Source organism: Homo sapiens, chromosome 15, assembly GCF_000001405.40.
Source record: "Homo sapiens chromosome 15, GRCh38.p14 Primary Assembly".
Taxonomy (NCBI): Eukaryota; Metazoa; Chordata; class Mammalia; order Primates; family Hominidae; genus Homo; species Homo sapiens.
The window spans coordinates 55,300,575-55,321,044 of record NC_000015.10 but is presented as its reverse complement, the minus strand read 5'-3'; the positions used below and the strand labels follow the sequence as shown (position 1 = coordinate 55,321,044).

Below are 20,470 nucleotides of genomic sequence, written 5' to 3'. Positions count from 1 at the left end.
ATATTTGCATTAAAAATTCAATTGGCCAACTAAACTCTTAACTTCTTCAAGGCAGTAATGTGTTTTTTACTTTCTCTGTATCCTCCAAGTGCTAAGTACTGTGGGAATGTATGCTAACGGCTGTGTCAAGTATATTAACATAAAAGAAAGATACAGGAGAAATATTTGTATAAAATAATGGTATACTTTGATGAGTTAAAATTATTTGGGGAAAATACGGAAAACTGAAAATATGTATAGTAGTCCCCCCTTATCTGTGGTTTCTCTTTCCATGTTTCAGTTGCCCAGAGTCAACCACTGTCTGAAAATATGAAGATATTTTGAGAGAGACCACATAAAAGTTCACATAACTTTTATTATAGTATTGTGTTATACTTGTTATATTTTAATACTGTTAATCTCTTACTGTACCTAATTTGTATAAACTTTATCATAAGCGTGTGTGTATTTTTTACATATATAAAAACAATATATATAGAGTTTGGTACTGTCTACAGTTTCAAGCATCCACTAGGGATTTTGGAAACTATCTACTGAAGACGAGGGAGCAAGGGGGACTACTCTAAAAGAAACTGAGCACAATTTCCAAGATGAATACACACTCATAGTCTGGAAAAGAAACCACAAAGGATATTTGAAAACCATGTGATGTGAAACTTCAAGAGACTGCCAGTATTCATCTGGAACAAAACTTGTCTGCACTAAAAAGCAGTTTAATATTCGTAAAGCTATGGTAAACAAGAGCAGATAAATATTTTCTCCAAGAAGATCTGAAAAACAGAACAAAACAGGTAATAGTGGCACAAAAGTCAGGCAGTTCCACTTGCAAAACTTAAAATCTGCTGCTCTGGTTGGCTCCTTGTAAGGCACAGTAGTGACCTCTGGTCCCTCCACACCATTCTTAAAGCCAACTTGGTTGGTTATACAAGCACCACAGCGTCATCACTGGGTGACTGCCACTCTTTTAGTTTAACCAACTTTTCTTGCAACTTATTGTGTAAAGATAATATTAAAATAAATACAAAAAAAAAAGAGTGGGTTAACTAAGGCCTTAGGCTAATTAATTAGGTCATACTATGTGTGTATCTAATGAAAGAAACCAGCTAACAAATTACTAATTTGGGAAGCAGCCCTTTGTATATGTGCAATATAAAATGGTCCTCTGTACATATATATTGATGATTACTATTATATATGCCAGGCACTGTGTTAATTTCTTCACATGCATCTCACTTAATCCTCCAAACAATATTATGGGATAGGTATTATTAGCCCCATTTTACAGACGAGCAAATTGAGGCCCAGAAATTAAACTGCCTTGTCCAAATAAAGTTGTAAATTACTTATCAGGATTCAAACCCGGGTCTGTGTGATGTCTCCAAAGTCCTGCTCTTGACCACAAATGGACAGCCTGTCGGCCAAATACAGAGTATTTTTTAAAAAATTGAATTTAGTTGCCAACATTTAAAAATCAGAATTTATATTAAAATCTGTGTTTCCAGCATTTCCCAGCATTTCAAAACTCAAGATCTGGCAACACAGAGCTCAACGGGCAACTGGCTGGTAATGAAATGGAGGGGGTTCCTTTTAGATGGGGGTAGGAGCTCTCCAGACAGTGTCCCCTCACTCACCCCCGCGGCGCCTGGCGCTCTTCTCCTGGGTGTTGAAGTACAAGGTAGACTTTCTCTTTCGCAGCTTTATCTTGCCGTGGGAGCGGTTCTGGAGACCATGCAAAGTGAGGCTGGCATCTCCGCCCCCCGGCTCCATTCCGCACTTGCTTAGGGGCCTCCTCATCCCTGGCCGCCACCTTCCTAAGGCGGAAGAAAGCTGCAGTAGCGCGCTGCTCGTCCATCCATTAAGTTTGGCCTTTGAGAGCAGTCGTCGCTCGCAAGCCCGGAAGTAACCGGGAACGGGCAACTTCGTAGCTCCCACCCGACGTGGTGGCCTCCTTGCGGTTTCCTTTCGCCGTTTCCGAACCGAGGGATTGCTACTCGCCTTTGGCTTGGCGGTCTCTGTGCTCGGGGGTCCGAAAACTGCTGGAAGGCCCCCGGTCTCTGGAGGGGAGCAGGCGGTAGCGAGTTTAGTGACGTGGAGCAGGCGCAGAACAGTCGGAGGTACCTGAGTGGTTATTAAAAACGGTAACGGTAATTGTAGACGTCAGTGTTGGTGTTAACATTTCAGGTTCGTTGCTCTCACAAAAAATGCCTGTTCAACGAGGTAGGCAGGGTAGGGATGATTTAGCTTGTTGTACAGATGTGGAAACAGGCCGAATGGTTCCTATTTTTTTTGTTGTTGTTGCTGTTGTTAGGTTTTTTTTTTGTTTTTGTTTTTGTTTTTTTTTTTGAGACGGAGTTTCGCTCTTGTAGTCCAGGCTGGAGTGCAGTGGCGCAATCTGGGCTCACTGCAACTTCTGCCTCCCGGGTTCCAGTGATTTTCCTGCCTCAGCTCCCAAGTAGCTGGGACTACAGGCGCGCCACCACGCCTGGCCAATTTTTGTGTTTTTTTGTAGAGACGGGGTTTCACCATATTGGCCTGGCTGGTCTGGAACTCCTGACCTCGTGATCCGCCCGCCTCGGCCTCCCAAAGTGTTGGGATTACAGGCGTGAGCCACCGCGTGCGGCCCACTCCTCTTGTTAAAAGTAAAACCAGGCCGGGCGCGGTGGCTCACGCCTGTATTCCCAGTACTTTGGGAGGCCAAGACGGGCGGATCAGGAGGTCAGAGGATCGAGACCATCCTGGCTAACACGGTGAAACCCCGTCTCTACAAAAAATACAAAAAATTAGCCGGGTGTGGTGACACGCGCCTGTAGTCCCAGCTTCTCGGGAGGCTGAGGTAGGAGAATGGCGTTAACCGAGGAGGCGGAGCTTGCAGTGAGCCGAGATTGCGCCATTGCACTCCAGCCTGGGCGACAGAGCGAGACTCCGTCTCAAAAAAAAAAAAAAAAAGAAAAAGTATGCATTTAAAACCATTGAGAACATTCTGTAATAGAAAAGGTTTTAGTTTTGTCTTATACCCTTCCCTAATTCACTTCCTGTACTCCTTATGTATTTATATTCTTGTTTTAATTAGTAACATATTATAAAAATATTGTTCACTCCAGTGCAAAGTAGTGACATAACATCTTTTAAAAGGACATTGTACTAAGTGATGGCTTTGCTTTCCATTTTTGTATGCAGATTTGAAGAGATTTCCTGGGTGTGGAGTGTGACTTTCCAAAACCAGCTTTTCCTTGAGCTGTATTTGTTGCAGCAATGTTTAGGAGATTGACTTTTGCACAACTGCTTTTTGCCACTGTCCTTGGAATTGCTGGAGGAGTATATATTTTTCAACCAGTATTTGAACAGTATGCCAAAGATCAGAAGGAATTAAAAGAAAAGATGCAGTTGGTACAAGAATCAGAAGAGAAGAAAAGTTAATACTACATGGAGTTAGGCCTGGCGCAGTGGCTCACGCCTGTAATCCCAGCACTTTGGGAGGCCGAGGCGGGTGGATCAGGTGGTCAGGAGTTCAAGACCAGCCTGACCAACATGGTGAAACCCTGTCTCTACTGAAAATACAAAAATCAGCCAGGCTTGGTGGCATGCGCCTGTAATCCCAGCTACTTGGGAGGCTGAGGCAGGAGCATCACTTGAACCTGGGAGGCAGAGGTGGCAGTGAGTCAAGATCACGCTGCTGCACTCCAGCCTGGGTGACAGAGCGAGACTCCATCTAAAAAAACAAAAAGCAAAAAAACCCACAAATACCTCATGGAGATGAACTGTAATAATTGCTTAAAGTTCCATTTAATTATGTTAACTCTAATCTAGCAAAAACATAGATGTACTTAAAAATAAATCATGGATAATGATTTTTTAACCTAACACTGTTAATTTTAATGTTTATTGTATATTTGTCATTTTATGTCTTTTTACCAGGACAGATAAGTAATTTCCTTTTAAACAAAAGTGAATATTTTAGGAATATTTTCTACTTGAGGTTTATTTTTCTAGGAATTCAGCATATGCAGTATCATGGGGTGCCAGTCTCAGTGTGTATATAATAATTGGGAAGGGTGTTTGCAATAGTGTTTGTAGATATGTGAACCAACTTAAACTACCTCAGGCAGAAATCCACTCCGTTACCCTGCAGTTAGATTGGTTTAATATATTTTGGCAGTCATTCAATCCCAGCCGTTTTTCATCTCAGGCAGTGTGGAGGAGTAGTTGAGAGTTGGGATGGCTCAGATCAAATTGAGGTTTTAGAGAAGGTAGATGTTGTTTGAGAGGATGGCAGATATGACACAGATGTTTTTTAATCCACTAAGCAAATTTGCATTAATAATTGTGTTAAGGGAGTAGTTAATTTATTATGAAGCTATTATTCATATAGTTAAAATTTTTTTTGAAGTTACTAAGAATTGGTATTACTTTTTACTCTAGCGTTAAGTTTGTATTTTCTTTTTTTCTCCTTTTTTTTTTTAAGTTCTGGGATACATGTGCTGAACGTGCAGGTTTGTAACATAGATATACATGTGCCATGGTGTTTGCTGCACCTGTCAACCCGTCATCTAGGTTTTAAGCCCTGCAGGCATTAGGTATTTGTCCTAATGCTCTCCCTCCCCTTGCCCCCCACCCGCCCCCGACAGGCCCCAGTGTGTGATGTTCCCCTCCCTGTGTCCATGTATTCTCATTGTTCAGCTCTCACTTATGAGTGAGAACATGTGGTGTTTGGTTTTCTGTTCCTGTGTTAGTTAGTTTGCTGAGAATGATGGTTTCCAGCTTCATCCATGTCCCTACAAAGTACATAAATTCTTTTTTTTTTTTTTTTTTTGAGACGGAGTCTGGCTCTGTTGCCCAGGCTGGAGCGCAGTGGCGCAATATTGGTTTGCTGCAACCTCTGCCTCCGCCTCCCAGGTTCAAGCAGTTCTGCCTCAGCCTACGTAGTAGCTGGGACTACATGTGTGCACCACCACACCTAGCTAATGTTTGTATTTTTAGTAGAGATGGGGTTTCACCATTTTGGCCAGAATGGTTTCAATCTGCTGACCTCGTGATCCACCTGCTTCGGCCTCCCAAAGTGCTGGGATTATAGGCATGAGCCACCGCGCCTGGCCGTGCATGTGTCTTTATAGTAGAATGATTTGTAATCCTTTGGGTATATACCCAGTAATGGGATTGCTGGGTCAAATGGCATTTCTGGTTGTAGATCCTTGAGGAATTGCCACACTGTCTTCACAATGGTTGAACTAATTTACACTCCCACCAACAGTGTAAAAGCGTTCGTATTTCTCCACAGCCTCACCAGCATCTGTTGTTTCCTGACTTTTTAATGATCACCATTCTAACTGGCATGAGATGGTATCTCATTGTGGTTTTGATTTGCATTTCTCTAATGACAAGTGATGATGAGCTTTTTTTCATAAGTTTGTTGGCTGCGTAAATGTCTTCTTTTGAGAAGTGTCTGTTCATATCCTTCACTCACTTTTTGATGGGGTTGTTTTTTTCTTGTAAATTTGTTTAAGTCCCTTGTAGATTCTGGATATTAGCCCTTTGTCAGATGGATAGATTACGAAAATTTTCTCCCATTCTGTAGGTTGCCTGTTCACTCTCACGATAGTTTCTTTTGCTAGGCAGAAGCTCTTTAATTAGATCCCATTTGTCGATTTTGGCTTTTGTTGCAATTGCTTTTTGGTGGCCTTGTCATGAAGTCTTTGCCCGTGCCTATGTCCTGAATGGTATTGCCTAGGTTTTCTTCTAGACTTTTTATGGTTTTAGGTTTTCCATTTAAGTTATTAGTCCATCTTGAGTTAATTTTTGTATAAGGTGTAAGGAAGGGGTCCAGTTTCTGTTTTCTGCATATGGCTAGCCAGTTTTCCCAGCACCATTTATTAAATAGGGAATCCTTTCCCCATTGCTTGTTTTTCTCAGGTTTGTCAAAGATCAGATGGTTGTAGATGTATGGTGGTATTTCTGAGTTCTGTTCTGTTCCATTTGTCTATGTCTCTGTTTTGGTACCAGTACCATGGTGTTTTGGTTACCATAGCCTTTTTGTATAGTTTGAAGTCAGGTAGCTTGATGCCTCCAGCTTTGTTCTTTTTGCTTGGGGTTGCCTTGGCTATATGGGCTCTTTTTTGGTTCTACATGAAATTTAAAGTATTTTTTTCTAATTCTGTGAAGAAAGTCATTGGTAGCTTGATGGTAATAGCATTGAATCTATAAATTACTTTGGGCAGTATGGCCATTTTCATGATTGATTCTTCCTATCCATGAGCATGGAATGTTTTTCCATTTGTTTGTGTCCTCTCTTATTTCCTTGAGCAGTGGTTTGTAGTTCTCCTTGAAGAGGTCCTTCACATCCCTTGTAAGTTGTATCCCTAAGCATTTTATTCTGTTTGTAGCAGTTGTGAATAGGAGTTCACTCATGATTTGGCTGTTTGTCTGTTAAGGGTGTATAGGAACGCTTGTGATTTTTGCACATTGATTTTGTATCCTGAGACTTTGCTGAAGTTGCTTATCAGCTTAAGGAGTTTTTGGGTGGAGACAGTGGGGTTTTCTAAATACACAATCATGTCATCTGCAGAGACAATTTGACTTCCTCTCTTCCTATTTGAATACCCTTTCTTTCTTCTCTTGCCTGATTCCCTGGCCAGTACTTCCAGTACTGTGTTGAATATGAATAGTGACAGAGAGCATCCTTATGCCGGTTTTCAAAGGGAATGCTTCCATTAAGCTTGTGTTTTCAATGAGATCTATAAATGTAATCACATATGTACAAAGTTCTTTATCTAAATCAACATGTTTTTATATTGATATCCTTTTTCTTAAAATGTAAATTCATTATAATTTAATCTCAGCTATGTTAGGTGGAGACCAGCATAGGTAATTTTTTTTTTTTTTTTTTTGAGATACAGTCTCGCTGTGATGCCCAGGCTGGAGTGCAATGGCGTGATTTTGGCTCACTGCAACCTCTCCCACCCAGGTTCAAGTGATTCTCCTGCCTCAGCCTCCCGAGCAGCTGGGATTACAGGTGCCTGCTACCACACCCGGTTTATTTATTTATTTATTTATTTATTTATTTATTTATTTATTTATTGAGATGGAGTCTCGCTCTGTTGCCCAAGCTGGAGTGCAGTGGCACGATGTCAGCTCACTGCAACCTCCACCTTCCGGGTTCACACTATTCTCCTGCCTCAGCCTCCTGAGTAGCTGGGACCACAGGTGCTTGCCACCACTCCCGGCTAAGTTTTTGTATTTTTAGTAGAGACAGGGCTTCACCATGTCAGCCAGGATGGTCTTGATCTCCTGACCTCGTGATCCGCCCGCCTCGGCTTCCCGAAGTAATTTTTGTATTTTTAGTGGAGACGGGGTTTCACCCTGTTGGCCAGGCTGCTCTTCAACTCCTGACCTGAAGTGATACCCCTGCCTTGGCCTCCCATAGTGCTGAGATTACAAGCGTGAGCCACTGCGCCTGGCGTAGCATAGGTAATTTTTAAAAATAGAAAATGAAGAAATTACAAAAGTACTATATGTTCCTTAAAGCATTCTAATATTACAAAATGAACAAAGTGAAAAGTGAAAATTATTGTTGTATAAATGGATTTATTCAGTACCTTTAACAATTTAGTATGATCTTTTGAGGTTTTCTTTGTGTTTTTTGTTTTTAAAGAGATAGGGTCTCGCTCTGTCACCCAGGCTTGAGTGTAGTATCATCATTGCTCGCTATAACCTTGAACTCCTGGGCTCACGTGATTCCGCTCGTCTCATCGACTATAGTTGTACACAACTACATCTGGCTTATTTAAAACAAATCTTTGTAGAAATGGGGTCTCACTCTGTGGCCTAGTCTGGTCTTAATCCCCTGGACTCAAGCGATCTTCTTCCCTTGGCCTCCCAAAGCACTAGGATTCTAGGCGTCAGCCACTGTGCTTGGCAAGATTTTTTCCTATGCACTTAAAAGTAGTTATAAAAATTTTAATTTAAATACCAAATGTCTGCTGGGTAAGAGGTTTGGCTTTGCTTAGCTCTAGACTGGAATTCTGTTGTTTGTGTCTTCTCATTCTGGGACCGGGGCTCAAGGAGCAGCCTCTGTCAGGGCTATGACAGAGTGTAGGAGAGAGAGAGAGATGGAGAGCAGTTGTAAGTTTCTGCTCAATTGTGGCACATTATCACATCTTCTCATATTTTGTCTTAGAGCATGTCACATGCTCAAGCCTAAAGTCATCAAGGCAAGGGACATGGACTCTTCTCATAGGATGCACAGTCAAGTCACGTGACAGGAATACATAATGTTAATACATTTGAGGAATAATCCTAACACATCAAGTTAAAGTAAGCTGCTTTTGATCCCCCTTTTGAAAAGGATGCCAGTTTAGTTGTTACATACCAAGTGCCAGAGGCTGAGTTTTTTTTTTTCCTGGTGAAGATATTGCATTCGTTGAAAACAAAACCACACTGAGTTACCATTTCATGTTCACTAGGATGACTGCAGTCAAAAAGATGGAAAATTACAAGTGCTGTTGAGGATGTGAAACAATTGGAAGCTTCATACACTACTGGTTGGAAAGTAAAATGGTGCAGTCACTTTGGGAAAGTTTGGCAGTTCTTCAAATGGTTAAACGTAGAGCTACTATATGGCCTAGCAATTCCCCTTACAGGCATATGCCCAAGATAATTGAAAATATATGTTCAGGGCTACCCTCTTTGGGTCCCCTCCCTTTGTATGGGAGCTCTGTTTTCACTCTATTAAGTCTTGCTTCTGCAGTCTTCTGGTCCATATTTGTTACGGCTCCAGCTGAGCTTTTGCTCGCCGTCCACCCCTGTTGTTTGCCGCTGTCGCAGACCCGCCGCTGACTTCCATCCCTCCGGATCCAGCAGGGTGTCTGCTGTGCTCCTGATCCAGCGAGGCGCCCATTGCCACTCCTGATCGGACTGAAGGCTTGCCATTGTTCCTGCACGGCTAAGAGCCTGGGTTCGTCCTAATCGAGCTGAACACTAGTCACTGGGTTCCACGGTTCTCTTCCGTGACCCACGGCTTCTAATAGAGCTATAACACTCACCGCATGGCCCAAGATTCCATTCCTTGGAATCCGTGAGGCCAAGAACCCCAGGTCAGAGAACACGAGGCTTGCCACCGTCTTGGAAGCAGCCTGCCACTATCGGGAGCTCTGGGAGTAAGGACCCCCAGTAACATTTGGTGACCACGAAGGGATCTCCAAAGCAATGGGAAACGTTCCCCCCAAGGCAGAAACGCCCCTGAGATGTATTCTGGAGAATTGGGACCAACTGGACTCTCACATGCTAAGAAATAAACGACTTATATTCTTCTGCAGTACCACCTGGCCACGATATCCTCTTCAAGGGGGAGAAACCTGGCCTCCTGAGGGAAGTATAAATTATAACACTAGCTTACAGCTACACCTCTTTTGTAGAAAAGAAGGCATAAGGAGTGAAGTGCCATATGTACAAACTTTCTTTTCATTAAGAGACAACTCACAATTATGTAAAAAGTGTGATTTATGCCCTACGGGAAGCCCTCAGAGTCTACCTCCCTACCCCAGCGTCCCCTCGACTCCTTCCCCAACTAATAAGGACCCCCCTTCAACCCAAACTGTCCAAAAGGAGATAGACAAAGGGGTAAACAATGAACCACAGAGTGCAATTTTCCCCGATTATGCCCACTCCAAGCAGTGGGAGGAGAATTCGGCCCAGCCAGAGTGCGTGTACCTTCTTCTCTCTCAGACTTAAAGCAAATTAAAATAGACCTAGGTAAATTCTTAGATAACCCTGATGGCTATGTTGAGGTTTTACAAGGGTTAGGACAGTCCTTTGATCTGACATGGAGAGATACAATGTTACTGCTAAATCAGACACTAGCTCCAAATGAGAGAAGTGCTGCCATAACTGCAGCCTGAGAGTTTGGCGATCTCTGGTATCTCAGTCAGGTCAATGATAGGGTGACAACAGAGGAAAGAGAAAAATTCCCCACAGGCCAGCAGTCAGTTCCCAGTGTAGACCCTCAGTGGGACACAGAATCAGGATATGGAGATTGGTGCCGCAGACATTTGCTAACCTGCGTATTAGAAGGACTAAGGAAAACTAGGAAGAAGCCTATGAATTATTGGCAATGATGTCCACTGTAACACAGGGAAAGGAAGAAAATCCTACCGCCTTTCTGGTGAGACTAAGGGAGGCATTGAGGAAGCATACCTCTCTGTCACCTGATTATATTGAAGGCCAACTAATCTTAGAGGATAAGTTTATCACTCAGTCAGCTGCAGACATTAGAAAGAAACTTCAAAAGTCTGCCTTAGGCCCGGAGCAAAACTTAGAAAACCTATTGAACTTGGCAACCTCGGTTTTTTATAATAGAGATCAGGAGGAGCAGGTGGAATGGGACAAATGGGATTTAAAAAAAGGCCATTGCTTTAGTCATGGCCCTCAGGCAAGCAGACTTTGGAGGCTCTGGAAAAGGGAAAAGCTGGGCAAATCGAATGCCTAATAGGGCTTGCTTTCAGTGCGGTCTACAAGGACACTTTAAAAAAGATTGTCCAAATAGAAATAAGCCACCCCCTCGTCCATGCCCCTTATGTCAAGGGAATGACTGGAAGGCCCACTGCCCCAGGGGATGAAGGTCCTCTGAGTCAGAAGCCACTAGCCAGATGATCCAGCAGCAGGACTGAGGGTGCCCGGGGCAAGTGCCAGCCCATGCCATCACCCTCACAGAGCCCCAGGTGTGCTTGACCATTGAGGGCCAGGAGGTTAACTGTCTCCTGGACACTGGCGTGGCCTTCTCAGTCTTACTCTTCTGTCCTGGACAACTGTCCTCCAGATCTGTCACTATCTGAGGGGTCCTAGGACAGCCAGTCACTAGATACTTCTCCCAGCCACTAAGTTGTGACTGGAGAACTTTACTCTTTTCACATGCTTTTCTAATTATGCCTGAAATTGCCACACCCTTGTTAGGGAGAGACATTCTAGCAAAAACAGGGGCCATTATACACCTGAACATAGGAGAAGGAACACCCGTTTGTTGTCCCCTGCTTGAAGTCTGGGTAACAGAAGGACAATATGGACGAGCAAAGAATGCCCGTCCTGTTCGAGTTAAACTAAAGGATTCTGCCTCCTTTCCCTACCAAAGGCAGTACCCCCTTAGACCCGAGGCCCAACAAGGACTCCAAAAAATTGTTAAGGACCTAAAAGCCCAAGGCCTAGTAAAACCGTGCAGTAGCCCCTGCAATACTACAATTTTAGGAGTACAGAAACCCAATGGACAGTGGAGGTTAGTGCAAGATTTCGGGATTATCAATGAGGCCATTGTCCATCTACACCCAGCTGTACCTAACCCTTATACTCTGCTTTCCCAAATACCAGAGGAAGCAGAGTGGTTTACAGTCCTGGACCTTAAGGATGCCTTTTTCTGTATCCCTGTACATCCTGACTCTCAATTCTTGTTTGCCTTTGAAGATCCTTTGAACCCAACATCTCAACTCACCTGGACTGTTTTACCCCAAGGGTTCAGGGATAGCTCCCATCTATTTGGCCAGGCATTAACCCGAGACTTAAGCCAGTTCTCATACCTGGACACTCTTGTCCTTTGGTACATGGATGATTTACTTTTAGCTGCCCATTCAGAAACCTTGTGCCATCAAGCCACCCAAGCGCTCTTAAATTTCCTTGCTGCCTGTGACTACAAGGTTTCCAAACCAAAAGTTCAGCTCTGCTCTCAGCAGGTTTAATACTTAGGGCTAAAATTATCCAAAGGCACCAGGGCCCTCAGTGAGGAACATATCCAGCCTATACTGGCTTATCCTCATCCCAAAACTCTAAAGCAACTAAGAGGGTTCCTTGGCATAACAGGTTTCTGTCGAATATGGATTCCCAGGTACGGTGAAATAGACAGACCATTGTATACACTAATTAAGGAAACTTGGAAAGTCAATACCCATTTAGTAAGATGGACACCTGAAGCAGAAGCGGCTTTCCAGGCCCTAAAGAAGGCCCTAACCCAAGCCCCAGTGTTAAGCTTGCCGATGGGGCAAGACTTTTCTTTATATGTCATAAAAAAACCAGGAATAGCTCTAGGAGTCCTTACACAGGTCCGAGGGACGAGCTTGCAACCCGTGGCATACCTGAATAAGGAAATTGATGTAGTGGCAAAGGGTTGGCCTCATTGTTTATGGGTAGTGGCAGCAGTAGCAGTCTTAGTATCTGAAGCAGTTTAAATAATACAGGGAAGAGATTTTACTGTGTGGACATCTCATGATGTGAACGGCATACTGACTGCTAAAGGAGACTTGTGGCTGTCAGACAACCGTTTACTTAAATATCAGGCTCTATTACTTGAAGGGCCAGTGCTGCGACTGCGCATTTGTGCAACTCTTAACCCAGTCCCATTTCTTCCGGACAATGAAGAAAAGATAGAACATAACTGTCAACAAGTAATTGCTCAAACCTACACCGCTCGAGGGGGACCCTTTAGAGGTTCCCTTGACTGATCCTGACCTCAACTTGTATACTGATGGAAGTTCCTTTGTAGAAAAAGGACTTCAAAAAGCAGGGTATGCAGTGGTCAGTGATAATGGAATACTTGAAAGTAATCTCCTCACTCCGGGAACTAGTGCTCAGCTGGCAGAACTAATAGTCCTCACTCGGGCACTAGAATTAGGAGAAGGAAAAAGGGTAAATATATATACAGACTCTAAGTATGCTTACCTAGTCCTCCATGCCCATGCAGCAATATGGAGAGAAGGGGAATTCCTAATTTCTGAGGGAACACCTATCAAACATCAGGAAGCCATTAGGAGATTATTATTCGCTGTACAGCAACCTAAAGAAGTGACAGTCTTACACTGCCGGGGTCATCAGAAAGGAAAGGAAAGGGAAATAGAAGGGAACCGCCAAGAGGATATTGAAGCCAAAAGAGCCGCAAGGCAGGACCCTCCATTAGAAATGCTTATAAAAGGACCCGTAGTATGGGGTAATCCCCTCCGGGAAACCAAGCCCCAGTACTCAGAAGAAGAAATAGAATGGGGAACCTCACGAGGACATAGTTTCCTCCCCTCAGGATGGCTAGCCACTGAAGAAGGAAAAATACTTTTGCTGGCAGCTAACCAATGGAAATTACTTAAAACCCTTCAGCAAACCTTTCACTTAGGCATTGATAGCACCCATCAGATAGCCAAATCATTATTTACTGGACCAGGCCTTTTCAAAACTATCAAGCAGATAGTCAGGGCCTGTGAAGTGTGCCAAAGAAATAATCCCCTGCCTTATCGCCAAGCTCCTTCAGGAGAACAAAGAACAGGCAATTACCCAAGAGAAGACTGGCAACTAGATTTTATCCACATGCCAAAATCACAGGGATTTCAGTGTCTACTAGTCTGGGTAGATACTTTCACTGGTTGGGCAGAGGCCTTCCCCTGTAGGACAGAAAAGTTCCAAGAGGTAATAAAGGCACTAGTTCATGAAGTAATTCCCAGATTCGGACTTCCCTGAGGCTTACAGAGTGACAATGGTCCTGCTTTCAAGGCCACAGTAACCCAGGGAGTATCCCAGGCGTTAGGTATAGAATATCACTTACACTGCACCTAGAGGCCACAATCCTCAGGGAAGGTTGAGAAAATGAAACACTCAAACGACATCTAAACAAGCTAACCCAGGAAACCCACCTCGCATGGTCTGCTCTGTTGTCTATAGCCTTACTAAGAATCCAAAACTCTCCCCAAAAAGCAGGACTTAGCCCATACAGAATGCTGTATGGACGGTCCTTCCTAACCAATGACCTTCTGCTTGACCAAGAGATGGCCAACTTAGTTGCAGACATCACCTCCTTAGCCAAATATCAACAAGTTCTTAAAACATTACAAGGAGCCTGTCCCCGAGAGGAGGGAAAAGAAATATTCCACCCTGGTGTCATGGTATTAGTCAAGTCCCTTCCCTCTAATTCCCCATCCCTAGACACATCCTGGGGAGGACCCTACCCAGTCATTTTATCTATCCCAACTGCGGTTAAAGTGGCTGGAGTGGAGTCTTGGATACATCACACTCGAATCAAACCCTGGATACTGCCGAAGGAACCCGAAAATCCAGGAGACAACGCTAGCTATTTCTTTGAACCTCTAGAGGATCTGTGCCTGCTCTTCAAGCAACAACCGTGAGGAAAGTAACTAAAATCGTAAATCCCCATGGCCCTCCCTTATTGTATTTTTCTCTTTACTGTTCTCTCACCACCTTTCAGTCTCACTGCACCCTCTCCATGCCACTGTAGGACCAGTAGCTCCCCTTACCAAGCGTTTCTATGGAGAATGCGGCGTCCCAGACATATTGATGCCCCATCGTATAGGAGTTTATCTAAGGGAAACCCCGCCTTCACCGCCCACACCCATATGCCCCACAACTGCTATAACTCTGCCACTCTTTGCATGCATGCAAATACTCATTATTGGACAGGGAAAATGATTAATCCTAGTTGTCCTGGAGGACTTGGAGCCACTGTCTGTTGGACTTAGTTCACCCATACTGGTATGTCTGATAGGGGTGGAGTTCAAGATCAGGCAAGAGAAAAACACGTAAAGGAAGTAATCTCCCAACTGACCTGAGTACATAGCACGCCTAGCCCCTACAAAGGACTAGATCTCTCAAAACTACATGAAACCCTCCGTACCCATACTCGCCTGGTAAGCCTATTTAATACCACCCTCACTGGGTTTCATGAGGTCTCGGCCCAAAACCCTACTAACTGTTGGATGTGCCTCCCTCTGCACTTAAGGCCATACATTTCAATCCCTGTACCTGAACAAGGGAACAACTTCAACACATAAACACCACTTCCGTTTTAGTAGGACCTCTTGTTTCCAATCTGGAAATAACCCATACCTCAAACCTCACCTGTGTAAAATTTAGCAATACGATAGACACAACCAACTCCCAATGCATCAGGTGGGTAACTCCCCCCCACGAATAGTCTGCCTACCCTCAGGAATATTTTTTGTCTGTGGTACCTCAGCCTATTGTTGTTTGAATGGCTCTTCAGAATCTATGTGCTTCCTGTCATTCTTAGTGCCCCCCATGACCATCTACACTGAACAAGATTCATACAATCATGTCATACCTAACCCCTGCAACAAAAGAGTACCCATTCTTCCTTTTGTTATTGGAGCAGGAGTGCTAGGCGGAATAGGTACTGGCACTGGCGGTATCACAACCTGTACTCAGTTCTACTACAAACTATTTCAAGAAATAAATGGTGACATGGAACAGGTCGCCGATTCCCTGGTCACCGAGCAAGATCAACTTAACTTCCTAGCAGCAGTAGTCCTTCAAAATCAAAGAGTTTTAGACTTGCTAACCACTGAAAGAGGGGGAATCTGTTTATTTTTAGGAGAAGAATGCTGTTATTATGTTAATCAATCTGGAATTGTCACCAAGAAAGTTAAATTCAAGATCAAATACAACGTAGAGCAGAGGAGCTTCAAAACACCGGACTTGGGGCCTCCTCAGCCAATGGATGCTCTGGATTCTCCCCTTCTTGGGACCTCTAGCAGCTATAATATTGTTACTCCTCTTTGGACCCTGTATCTTTAACCTCCTTGTTAAGTTTGTCTCTTCCAGAATCGAAGCTGTAAAGCTACAAATGGTTCTTCAAATGGAGCCCCAGATGCAGTCCATGACTAAGATCTACCGTGGACCCCTGGACCAGCCTGCTAGCCCATGCTCCAATGTTAATGACATCAAAGTCACCTCTCCCGAGGAAATCTCAACTGCACAGCCCCTACCATGCCCCAGTTCAGCAGGAAGCAGTTAGAATGGTTGTCGGCCAACCTCCCCAAAAGCACTTGGGTTTTCCTGTGGAGTAGGGACTGAGAGACAGGGCTAGCTGGATTTCCTAGGCTGACTAAGCATCCCTAAGCCTAGCTGGGAAGGTGACTGCATCCACCTTTAAGCATGGGGCTTGCAACTTAGCTCACACCTGACCAATCAGGTAGTAAAGAGATCTCACTAAAATGCTAATTAGGCAAAAACAGGAGGAAAAGAAATAGCCAATCATCTATCGCCTGAGAGCACAGTGGGAAGGACAATGATTGGGATATAAACTCAGGCATTCCAGCCAGCAACTGCTACCCTCTTTGGGTCCCCTCCCTTTGTATGGGAGCTCCGTTTTCACTCTATGAAATCTTGCAACTGCAAAAACAAAACCAAACAAAATACACACACACCATATATATATATATATATGTTCACACTAAAGCTGGTAAATGAATGTTCATCACATTATTCATAATAGCCAAAAAGTGGAAAAAACCCAAGTGTCCATTAACTGATGAATGGATAAATAAGTGGTATTTCCGTATAATGGAATATTATTCAGCCAAGAAGATAAATGAAGTATGTGCTATAACATGGAAAAAATTAGAATACATTACGAAATAAGCCATGCACAAGATGGCACCTATTGGTATGTTTTCATTTGTATGACATGTCTAGAACAGGTAAATGTCTAGAGACAGAAAGTAGATTAGTGGCTGACAGGGGTTGAATGAAGGGGGGATGGAGAATGATTACTAGTGGAGATGACTTTTTTTTTTCTTTTTTTTAAATTTATTTTTTTATTGATAATTCTTGGGTGTTTCTCACAGAGGGGGATTTGGCAGGGTCATGGGACAATAGTGGAGGGAAGGTCAGCAGATAAACAAGTGAACAAAGGTCTCTGGTTTTCCTAGGCAGAGGACCCTGCGGCCTTCCGCAGTGTTTGTGTCCCTGGGTACTTGAGATTAGGGAGTGGTGATGACTCTTAACGAGCATGCTGCCTTCAAGCATCTGTTTAACAAAGCACATCTTGCACCGCCCTTAATCCATTTAACCCTGAGTGGACACAGCACATGTTTCAGAGAGCACAGGGTTGGGGGTAAGGTCACAGATCAACAGGATCCCAAGGCAGAGGAACCTTTCTTAGTGCAGAACAAAATGAAAAGTCTCCCATGTCTACCTCTTTCTACACAGACACGGCAACCATCCGATTTCTCAATCTCTTCCCCACCTTTCCCGCCTTTCTATTCCACAAAGCCGCCATTGTCATCCTGGCCTGTTCTCAATGAGCTGTTGGGCACACCTCCCAGACAGGGTGGTGGCCGGGCAGAGGGGCTCCTCACTTCCCAGTAGGGGCGGCCGGGCAGAGGCGCCCCTCACCTCCCGGACGGGCCGGCTGGCTGGGCAGGGGGGCTGACCCCCCCCACCTCCCTCCCGGACGGGGCGGCTGGCCGGGCGGGGGGCTGACCCCCCCACCTCCCTCCCGGACGGGGCGGCTGGCCGGGCAGAGGGGCTCCTCACTTCCCAGTAGGGGTGGCCGGGCAGAGGTGCCCCTCACCTCCCGGACGGGGCGGCTGGCCGGGCAGGGGGGCTGACCCCCCCCACCTCCCTCCCGGACGGGGCGGCTGGCCGGGCGGGGGGCCGACCCCCTCACCTCCCTCCCGGACGGGGCGGCTGGCCGGGCGGGGGGCCGACCCCCCCACCTCCCTCCCGGACGGGGCGGCTGGCCGGGCAGAGGGGCTCCTCACTTCCCAGTAGGGGCGGCCGGGCAGAGGCGCCCCTCACCTCCCAGACGGGGCGGCTGGCCGGGCGGAGGGCTGACACCCCAACTCCCTCCCGGACGGGGCGGCTGGCCGGGCAGAGGGGCTCCTCACTTCCCAGTAGGGGCGGCCGGGCAGAGGCGCCCCTCACCTCCCAGACGGGGCGGCTGGCCGGGCGGAGGGCTGACCCCCCCACCTCCCTCCCGGACGGGGCGGCTGGCCAGGCGGGGGGCTGACCCCCCCACCTCCCTCCCGGACAGGGCGGCTGGCCGGGCTGAGGGGCTCCTCACTTCCCAGTAGGGGCGGCCGGGCAGAGGCGCCCCTCACCTCCCGGACGGGGCGGCTGGCCGGGCGGGGGGCTGACCCCCCCACCTCCCTCCCGGACGGCACGGCTGGCCAGGCGGGGGGCTGACCCCCCCACCTCCCTCCCGGATGGCGCGGCTGGCCGGGCGGGGGGGCTGATCCCCCACCTCCCTCCCGGATGGGGCGGCTGGCCGGGCGGGGGGTTGACCCCCCCCCACCTCCCTCTTGGACGGGGTGGCTGCCGGGCGGAGATGCTCCTCACTTCCCAGATGGGGTGGCTGCCGGGCGGAGAGGCTCCTCACTTCTCAGACGGGGCAGCTGCCGGACGGAGGGGCTCCTCACTTCTCAGACGGGGTGGTTGCCAGGCAGAGGGTCTCCTCACTTCTCAGACGGGGCGGCCGGGCAGAGATGCTCCTCACCTCCCAGACGGGGTCTCGGCCGGGCAGAGGTGCTCCTCACATCCCAGATGGGGCGGCGGGGCAGAGGCGCTCCCCACATCTCAGACGATGGGCGGCCGGGCAGAGACGCTCCTCACTTCCTAGATGTGATGGCGGCTGGGAAGAGGCGCTCCTCACTTCCTAGATGGGATGGTGGCCGGGCGGAGACGCTCCTCACTTTCCAGACTGGGCAGCCAGGCAGAGGGGCTCCTCGCATCCCAGACGATGGGCGGCCAGGCAGAGACGCTCCTCACTTCCCAGACGGGGTGGCGGCCGGGCAGAGGCTGCCATCTCGGCACTTTGGGAGGCCAAGGCAGGCGGCTGGGAGGTGTAGGTTGTAGTGAGCCGAGATCATGCCACTGCACTCCAGCCTGGGCACCATTGAGCACTGAGTGAACGAGACTCCGTCTGCAATCCCGGCACCTCGGGAGGCCGAGGTTGGCGGGATCACTCGCGGTTAGGGGCTGGAGACCGGCCCGGCCAACACAGCGAAACCCCGTCTCCACCAAAACCAGTCAGGCGTGGCGGCGGGTGTTGTTGTTGTTTTTGAGATGAGGTCTCACTCTGACTTTTTTTTTTTTTTTTGAGACAGAGTCTCCCTCTGTCACCCAGGCTGGAGTGCAGTGGTGTGATCTTGACTCACTGCAACCTTTGCCTCCCGGGTTCAAGCGATTCTCCTGCCTTAGCCTCCCGAATAGGTGGGATCACAGGCACAAACTACCATGGTCGGCTAATTGTTCTATTTTTGGTAGAGACAGGTTCACCATATTGGCCAGGCCACTGCCCCCGGCCGTGGGGATTATTTTTAGGGTGATGAACTGGGCATGGTGGCTCATGTCTATAATCCCAATGCTTTGGGAGGCAGAGGTGGGTGGATCACATGAGGTCAGGAGTTCAAGACCAGCCTGGCCAACACGGTGAAACCCTATCTCTACTGAAAATACAAAAATTAGCAAGGTATGGTGGCACACGCCTGTAGTCCCAGCTACTCAGGACGTTGAGGGAGGAGAATTGCTTGAACCCAGGGGGCTGGAGGATGCAGTGAGCCAAGATCATGCCACTGCACTCCAGCCTGGGAAACAGTGAGACTCCGCCTCAAAAAAAAAAAAAAAAAAAGATTTTTAGGGTGATGAAAATGTTCTGGAAGTAGATAGTGGTGATCAATGTATAACTTTGTGAATATATTAAAAACCACCAAATCATACACTTTTAAAGGGTGAACTTTATTGTGTGTGAATTATATCTCAAAGCTGTCATAAAGACACTGCATGCAAACCACTGAATTGTACACTTTTAAGGGGTGAACTTTATTGTGTGTGAGTTATATCTCAAAGCTGTCATTAAAATATGATACTGCATCCAAACTAGCAGCTGCAGTTAAGGCAGACCAGTGTTTTTTTGCTCTTGTGGTAGTCTATAATCCATCTATTTTTTAAATTGTCATTTTAAATGACATTTTAATGGCCAATATGTTGAACCTGTCTCTACCAAAAATAGAAAAATTAGCCGAGCGTGGTAGTTTGTGCCTGTGATCCCAGCTATTTGGGAGGCTAAGGCAGGAGAATCGCTTGAGCCCAGGAGAAAAAAGTCCTGCAAAGTGGGTCCTGTTAGATTAGTTTGGTCCAAAGCTGCATTCATCCTTTAACCTCCATGAACTCCCACTCTTAACTGAAAGGTCACGGTGGCATTTTCTAGTCTGCTTGTACCAGTGTCAACTTAGGGCCTGTATCCAGTGGCCATCAAAGTCTGAGTATTTTTCTTTCCCCAGTGCACATCTGCCTGGTTAATGGCTTTGGGTCTCTTGAGAAAAAGAGCAAGAGAATGGTTATTGCATATTTTTGTGGCATTGAAGAGTCCTTCCCCAGGGGTGGATACAGCTATTTAAATCACTGGGCTCTAAGTCTATGAAGTCTGTGAAATGACTTAGATCAGTAAACTTGTGAGGGACCATGATTTCCATTGTAGAGACTGACATCAGCCTTCTATCCACTAGTTCTTGATTTCCTACCATCCTGCCCTCGCCCCCTGCCTTTATGAAAACTATATGTAAGTCAAGAAACACCCTCCCCATTTTTTTTTTTGGAGACAGAGTTTCGCTCTTGTTGCCCAGACTGGGGTGCAATGGCACACTCTCGGCTTACTGCAACCTCCACCTCCCGGGTTCAAGCGATTCTCTTGCCTCAGCCT

The 20,470-nt window shown here is 46.4% G+C and overlaps 3 protein-coding genes across 13 annotated transcripts in view, besides 4 other annotated features; 2 read left to right on the top strand and 1 right to left on the bottom strand.

Annotated features, from left to right (window-relative positions):
* PIGB (phosphatidylinositol glycan anchor biosynthesis class B) overlaps positions 1-1,823 on the bottom strand; it is a 36,427-nt gene extending 34,604 nt beyond the window's left edge. For 4 of the 8 annotated variants that reach the window (NM_004855.5, XM_011522235.4, XM_011522236.4 and 1 more), the window contains exons 1-2: positions 1,632-1,823; positions 635-770 (exon numbers count right to left, since the gene is read on the bottom strand). In NM_004855.5, coding sequence (NP_004846.4) covers positions 635-770; positions 1,632-1,794 — 299 coding nt within the window. In that variant the 5' untranslated portion in view covers positions 1,795-1,823. The remainder of the gene's footprint in view (positions 1-634; positions 771-1,631) is intronic. The other 4 variants (XM_047433363.1, XM_047433364.1, XM_011522237.3 and 1 more) reach the window with 1 other exon arrangement.
* Positions 1,564-1,643: an enhancer, noted in NCBI's record as "active region_9444". NCBI's record gives its function as "activates an Ori minimal core promoter by ATAC-STARR-seq in GM12878 lymphoblastoid cells {active_cell/tissue: GM12878}" and the evidence as "EXISTENCE:reporter gene assay evidence [ECO:0000049][PMID:35858748]".
* Positions 1,714-1,793: an enhancer, noted in NCBI's record as "active region_9443". NCBI's record gives its function as "activates an Ori minimal core promoter by ATAC-STARR-seq in GM12878 lymphoblastoid cells {active_cell/tissue: GM12878}" and the evidence as "EXISTENCE:reporter gene assay evidence [ECO:0000049][PMID:35858748]".
* Positions 1,854-1,943: an enhancer, noted in NCBI's record as "active region_9442". NCBI's record gives its function as "activates an Ori minimal core promoter by ATAC-STARR-seq in GM12878 lymphoblastoid cells {active_cell/tissue: GM12878}" and the evidence as "EXISTENCE:reporter gene assay evidence [ECO:0000049][PMID:35858748]".
* On the top strand, positions 1,922-3,861 carry PIGBOS1 (PIGB opposite strand 1). 4 transcript variants are annotated; one of them, NM_001308423.2, is made up of 2 exons: positions 1,922-2,114; positions 3,178-3,861. In NM_001308423.2, the coding sequence occupies exon 2, from the start codon at positions 3,253-3,255 to the stop codon at positions 3,415-3,417; it is 165 nt and encodes a 54-aa protein (NP_001295352.1). In that variant the 5' UTR covers positions 1,922-2,114; positions 3,178-3,252; the 3' UTR covers positions 3,418-3,861. The 4 variants fall into 4 exon arrangements, with proteins under 4 accessions (NP_001295352.1, NP_001295351.1, NP_001295350.1 ...); NM_001308422.2 differs by having other exon boundaries at positions 1,922-2,138; NM_001308421.2 differs by having other exon boundaries at positions 1,922-2,181.
* RAB27A (RAB27A, member RAS oncogene family) overlaps positions 1,922-20,470 on the top strand; it is a 116,158-nt gene continuing 97,609 nt past the window's right edge. The window contains exon 1 of the mRNA NM_001438970.1: positions 1,922-2,114. The gene's annotated coding sequence lies outside the window, so the exon portion shown is untranslated. The remainder of the gene's footprint in view (positions 2,115-20,470) is intronic.
* Positions 1,994-2,063: an enhancer, noted in NCBI's record as "active region_9441". NCBI's record gives its function as "activates an Ori minimal core promoter by ATAC-STARR-seq in GM12878 lymphoblastoid cells {active_cell/tissue: GM12878}" and the evidence as "EXISTENCE:reporter gene assay evidence [ECO:0000049][PMID:35858748]".